The sequence below is a fragment of the Homo sapiens genome, chromosome 11 (assembly GCF_000001405.40).
Source record: "Homo sapiens chromosome 11, GRCh38.p14 Primary Assembly".
NCBI lineage: Eukaryota > Metazoa > Chordata > Mammalia > Primates > Hominidae > Homo > Homo sapiens.
Genome location: NC_000011.10, coordinates 33,774,662 through 33,781,383, shown reverse-complemented (window position 1 = coordinate 33,781,383; position 6,722 = coordinate 33,774,662). Strand labels below are relative to the sequence as shown.

Here is a 6,722-nt window from a genome sequence, read left to right as displayed (position 1 = left end):
TTGACATATTGTGTAAAGGTTCATTTCCATCAATCTGGGAGCAGTATGCTCTACAGCCAAGAATAGCACCTGAAGTTTGGCCAATTATTCAGCATGCAAGCGTTGTGAGCCTCAGCAATTTATGGCATTGGTATTCCATGGAATTTGCCCATCTCAGAGACAAGCTATTTCAACAGTGAACCATGCTTCTTGTCAGATGCAAGTCTTGTCAAAGAGGCCCCAATAGGCCAACAGCTTAGGTTTAACAGTAGGTGGGTCTCTCCATGTCTAATGGGTGGGCAGCCACCTGTTGTTCCTGAAGTTGGCTAAGGTATTGGGGACCAGACTTGAACCTTGTAGGTTCAAGTTGTAGGTGCCATTGGTTGTAAGTGCCATTTCCATATTGCTACAGAACTTTCTGGGTATCTCAGTTCGGACAGGACCCAATGCAAAGTGACAATGTCAGGTGGCAAAGTCATCATTTTTCCTTTCAGTGACATTCTCTTTTTCCAGAAGGGGCTAGTTTCAGGCACAGCAGCAGAAGAAAGTCCTTGCAGGCTTGTCCTTGGTAAGAAGGTGGAGTCTCATTTCCAAAGCCTGTAATCACTGTGTGATTGATCATTGATATCTGTAATTCCATCTGAATAAGATAGGAGGCTCCAGGACAAGGTTTGCTTTACTGATGCCTGGATCACTTTCAAGGCTTCTTGCCATAGGTGTCCCCTTCTCAAATATAGTTAATTATTGGGTATATAAAGCCTGTTGTGGAATTTCCAGGTATAAAGGGTGATGTTTCCAAAACAGGCCAATCAGAGGTTAGGCATTCATCCCAACAGCAGCTAGTGGCCACAAGATTAGAACTTTGACTTTAATAGAGGATAGAATGTCTTTTTGGACTGTCGCACAAGAAGCCCCCAAAAAAGATGGGTGGCTGAATTGTTTCTTCTTCCTTGGAAGCCCATTCATCTTTGGTCAGCTTTTCTAAGCTGGAATGCAGTGGAGTTCATGTAGTACATTCGGTGGTGAGGTCATCGAGAGAGTGGAATGTTTGGCCCCAACCAGCAGTTCTCATTTTGTCAGCATTTGTTCAGCTCTCTGACAATGTACAATGTACTCCTGGGGAGTTTGTTACAGTACTGCTTGCCTTGGTGGATAAGGGCAAGTGATATCAGTCAGAGACCTCTCAAGAAACAGACAAAACATGCAAAGGAACATAACTAAACAGAATTCAGTGGGGACAATACTAAGAGAGTTATGAACCAGATAAGGGAACCAATGCGGGACAGTGAGGTGCCCAGGGATTAGTAATGGGGTGGGGGAGGGAAGCCGTTACCAACCCTGAAAAAGCAAGAGGCACAGTTCTAGCAGCTGGAGGGAGGGAACAGTATCATCAGAGCTGAGTGAGCTGGAGGTAGGAAAGAGGGCGCTGACAGGAGCTGTCTCCACCGAGGAACACAGCCCCAACCAAAATCCCAGGAGGTGGAGATGTATAAATACCTGAATGTCACTTTTCTCTGCCATTGTTCTCTCTTTGTTATCTGGCTTTCTCTTCCAGAAGCCAGATAACAAAGAAGCCCAGGTGAAGGAGTACCTAAAGATCAGCCTCCTAGGGCATGGAGAAGGGTAGAAAAGGTATAAAGAGTATTTTTTCTTTTTTTTTTTAAGCATTAGCTGGATGTGGTGGCACAAGCCTGTAGTTCTAGCTACTCAGAAGGCTGGGGTGTGAGGATCGCTTGAGTCCAGGAGATAGAGACCAGCCTAGACAACTGAGCCAGACCTTGTCTTTAAAAACAAAAACAAAACAAAACAAAAAACAAACCCCAGCATTAATCTATCCAAGCCTGCATGCCAAGTACCACTAATGGCACAATTCTAGTTCAGCCACTCATGATATCAGACACTATAAGAATAGTGGCCACTGACATGTTTAAGCCTCAACAGGGTACAGTAAGGTTCCATATACCAGTGGCTTCCCCAGCCCTATGGGGCTACGGAACTGGTGGATAGTGTTGTTCAGCACTCTGGCCTCTATTACGTCTCAGATAAGAATACTGCATTTTCTCTCCACCTGGTAGGAAGCATTGTTTCAATGATGCAATCTTGGCAGGCTTCAGGATTACAGGCCATTCTTGGTCACATCCTTAGCCCCATATTAGAAGCCACCAACAGGGGACACTTTAAATGTATCTTATCAGAAGATCCACTCATCATGCACCCAGAAGGTTCCTATCAATTATACAGGCTGCAAAAAAGCAAGAGACATGTCACAGACAAAAACAAAGAAACCAGACATTGGTTGGGCAAATTCAGAAATATTTAAAGTATCCCTTAAGGAAGGAGCAGGGAACCAAGTCCTAGAACTTAGTGTGTATAGCTGCTGGAACTGTGCCTATAAATCTCTTATATCTGGTCCAGGCTTCCCGTTAGCCGTGAGTTTGTCTGTGGTTTTGCTGCATAAGAGCAGCTAAATCCATTCCAGATTTTTGTGTCACCCCATCAGCCTGGCTGCTTTTCTGAGTGAGTAGCAGTAGCAGCCCCTAATCTCCACTCATCCCTGCAATTTTATCCTTCTCCCTGTTTTCAGCCATAAAGCGTAATTCTCCTGAATATTCCTGGGCTCCACAGGGGCGGGTCTCCTTTTTACCAATCACTGGCAGTCTTGCGGCCCAGGGTTTTCCTTGGGTGTCACACTTGTTTGGGGGAATTAGTGCCCAGCAGTCCCACCATGATCCTCCCACCCTTTTATCTTCTGGGTTCCCAAATGCGAGGGCTGCCTCAGCACAACCAGGATTGCTGACACTGGGGCTTGGGTGACAGGGCCCCCTGGGAGAGAATGCTTTTGTCCCTGGGAAGGCCCAGTTGGACAATGGGCAGTTCCAAAAACACTTAGCACCGAGGCAAAGTGGAGTTTAACCTTCATGCGTGCGACTGCCTTTCAGGGGCCACAGACACACACTACCAATGCCATGTGGTATAAATACAACTTGGGTGGGGGAGGGGGATACAAGCAGAGAAGGAGGAGCATGTAAGCAACCCCATTTCCCCATCCCACCATCCATCCCAGCCCCCAGCTTCCCTGTCCCGCTGAGAAATGTGCCTAGGCTGGGTTCATCTCGCAGAGTTCGATACAGAAGGATCTTAAACTCTGTTTTACAAATGCTGAGGTGGAAGCCGGGGATTCGGGGCACCTCTAGGCTGCCATTTAGTAGGAACTTCTAGAGCATCCTGTTTTGCCTCCAAGCTAACTCAGATCTGCTGAGGCAGCGAGTTGCTAAACCATGAAAACAGGTGAGAAAATGAGTCTCCAGGGCCATTTGAATTTGCCTCTCCCCAACCAAACCGTTAGGGAGTGTCTGTCACTTTCTCAAGGGCAGGTATGGCACTGTGTTCAGCTTGATCTCTCACAGTCCTGAGCCCGGATGCTTGTACTTGATAGGAGTTAATGTCTGAAGGATTTACCTAAACAGCCAGTGGGAACCTCAAAGCCGATGAAACTACGATTGATTACCAAGAGGTAGGGTGTTGTTGCTAGGAGCTACTCATCATAAATAAGATGCCACTGGGGTTCTAAAGGAAACACGTAAGACTGTGTATTTCTCAAGCATTGTCCCTCTCTACTCCTGAGAAAAGGAGAAACCTTTTTTTTAAAAAAAAAATTCTACATCTGAACCCTTCTGTTAGAACCTTCTGATTTCTTTTTAAAAAACATTTATTTATTTATTTAGAGACAGGGTCTCATTATGTCGCCCAGGCTGGAGTTCAGTGGCACGATCACGGTTCACTGCGGCCTCGACCTCCTAGGCTCAAGCTATCCTCCCACCTCAGCCTCCTGAGTAGCTGGGACTATAGGCATGCACCACCATGCCTGGCTTTTTTTTTTTTTTTTTTTTTGCAGACACAGGGTCTCTCCAGTGTGGTCTGGAACTCCTGGACTCAAGCAATCTGCCTACCTTGGCCTCCCAAGGTGTTGGGATTACAGGCGTGAGCTATCACGCCTGGCCTTAAAACCTTCTGCTTTCTGATCTACCATAGAAATTAAAATGATAAGCAAATACTATTTTAGTGAAACTCTTTAGAAACCAGCTTCCAAAACAATGAGCAAACTTGGAGGGACTGTTTCTTCCACCCAAGCTTAGCCCTGGGGATGTGAATAGCCAAATTCTGGACTCTCTCTTCCTACCTACCCCTTTTCCAGCCAGTATTGGGGGCAGGGTGGCAGGGGGTGGGGGAAGGGCAATAGGAAGCCCCAGCCCAGGAAAGGGCTCTCCTGGGTCCTGCCTACCTGCATTGCTCCCCCAACCTCTACCACATGCCTCATACCATGCTGGGGAGAAAAGTGGAGCCTGAGCCAAAGCCACCTCTCCAGAGGGGCCTGGGCTAGTGCAGCAGGGGATGGCAACCTGATGGCACTTTGCAAGGTAGGAAGTGGCAGGGCTTAGCAGCCTGGAAAAGAGGTGCTGAGAGCGCATGGCAGAAGCTGTAAGCCCAGCCACATGGGAGAAGCAAGTCTTCCACCTGGCCAGACGCGGTGGCTCATGCCTATAATCCCAGCACTTTGGGAGGCTGAGGCAGGTGGGTCACTTGAGGTCAGGAGTTCAAGACCAGCCTGACCAACATGGTGAAACCCTGTCTCTACTAAAAATACAAAAATTAGCTGGGTGTTGTGGTGTAGCTATAGTCTCAGCTACTCAGGAGGCTGAGGTAGGAAATTGGCTTGAGCCCAGGAGGCAGAAGTTGTAGTGAGCCGAAAGCATGTCACTGCACTCCAGCCTGGGCAACAGCAGAGAAACCCCGTTTCAAAAAACAAACTAACAAAACCATAAAAAGCATGTATTTAGTGCTGCGCATTGTTTTTTCTTTTTGCATCAGGCTCTAATATGGCTTACATGGCACTGTGGGATCCTGTTTTTGTTTAAGAGTTTGGTATTTTGTTCACTGTGAATTTTTTTTGCATTAATTTTTATTTTTAAAAATATTGCATTAAAATGTTATTTATTTGATTATTCAGTTTTTTGGCACCTCTTCTTAAATTTGTGCCCCAAGCAAGTAGCTTTCTTGCCTCACCTTAGTTCTGGCCCTGACAGTTTGGTAGCTTCATACTTTGTCTTCTGCATTAGGTCATAGCTGCACCAAGTCCAAGTGCAATAGGACAGCAGAAGCAAATGCAGTGTACCTGAAACTCCTACCAGCTTTTGGATTTAAAACAGGTGGCCCATCTGAAGTAGAAAATGGAGACAAACATAAATCAGGATCAAATACCTTTACAAGCATTTGTCTATGTAAAAAGGTATGGTTCCCTTGTAAACAGAAATGATTATTCTGTCTTCATTCATCCATTCAACCTGAATTTAAACTTTCTAGTTGTTGAATAACTTGCTAAGCCCTGAAATTAGAAAGATGAGTCAGACTGAGAGTTTACAGTTTGACGAGAGAGACACAGAACAAGTACTTGAAATCCAATTCAATAAATGTTCTTCTAAGCATATGCATAAACAATTTGGAAGCACAGAGATGTAGGCAGAGTTTTTTGTTGCTGTTGTTCTGTTTTGTTGGCTGGGTGGCAGGGGTTATAACTATTAAGCAAAACCATAAATAGAAGGCATTAATGGTATGAAGAATGGAGGAAATGGATTTTTTTGGGGCGGGGCATATCACTTCCACTCTTCCAAATAATTGAGAGAAACTTTCTCCAGGATATGGAAATGTTTGGAGAACTTAGTGACTGATGCATGTATAAGCTTGGAAAATTAACATTTATTGAGTATCTGGCCAGGCACTTTACATAAAGCGTTATCGCCATCCTTAGTTCACCAGAGGAGGGGTGGTTTTAGAGATGAGGGACAGTCTCAGAGAACTTAGGCGTAACTACGCCAGCATTTCACTAGTAGTGAAATAAATGACGGGCGTGTGAAGTCCAGGTCTGTCTGGATTCCCCAAAGCCCCTTACACCATACTACCTTTGGAAAAGCAATGGAAAAGAAGAAATCAGGCAAGTGATGTATGGACCCATTATACTTCCCCCACTCTCATTTTAATATCACCTTGGCAAAGCTGAAGAGCAGACATCTTCGTGCCTCCATCAGTTATGCCCTCTGGGAGTCTCAGTTCATCCCTTCACACGCGGGATACTTAACTCTGCGGGATCTAAACCCTGGCCAAAATAAATTTTAAAGCTGGAAAAAATCCACACTGTACCCTTTGCATTGCCCTAATAGGCTGAAAATAGCCATGATAACCAAATTAAGGGACAGCGGCTGAGACTCAGACTCACTCCTTGTACACATTTTACTTAGGAAGGCGGGGAGGGGCGTGAAGTTAAGCCCTCAACAATTATTTCCTTAATTTGGGAGAAGGGCCTTCAGCTGGCGTCCCTGGCTGATTCTCAGCTCTGCTCTTGCTGAGTGGACAAGTCTCGGAGCGGCCCTGCTGTGTGCGGGGGACAAGCGGGGTGGGGAAGGCTGAGCGGGGAAAACGAGGGGTTCTCGGGTTGGAAAACAAAGAGAAGGAATGGATTTGGGGACCAAGGGCGTGGAGGAGTGTCAGATTTTGAGCGAGGCTTCCTGCATACTGAGTGTAAAATTTCGCAGGAGGAGTTGGGCAGACCGAGGCAGATTTGGCAACAAAAGGGTCCCGGGCTGGGCAAGTTTACGAACCGGGATGCGAGAACAGAGCTGGAGAGATTTGACGCGGAGCGCGAAGAAAGCGGGCTGAACTCGCACTGCGCCGCTGGCTCCCGGCTAGCG

The 6,722-nt window shown here is 46.3% G+C and overlaps 1 long non-coding RNA gene across 1 annotated transcript; it reads right to left on the bottom strand.

Annotated features, from left to right (window-relative positions):
• Positions 1-5,713: 5,713 nt before the first annotated feature.
• FBXO3-DT (FBXO3 divergent transcript) lies at positions 5,714-6,685 on the bottom strand. The gene is made up of 3 exons (NR_120550.1): positions 6,633-6,685; positions 6,021-6,130; positions 5,714-5,936 (listed from the first exon to the last, which is right to left on the bottom strand). It is a non-coding gene; the product is annotated as an FBXO3 divergent transcript (long non-coding RNA).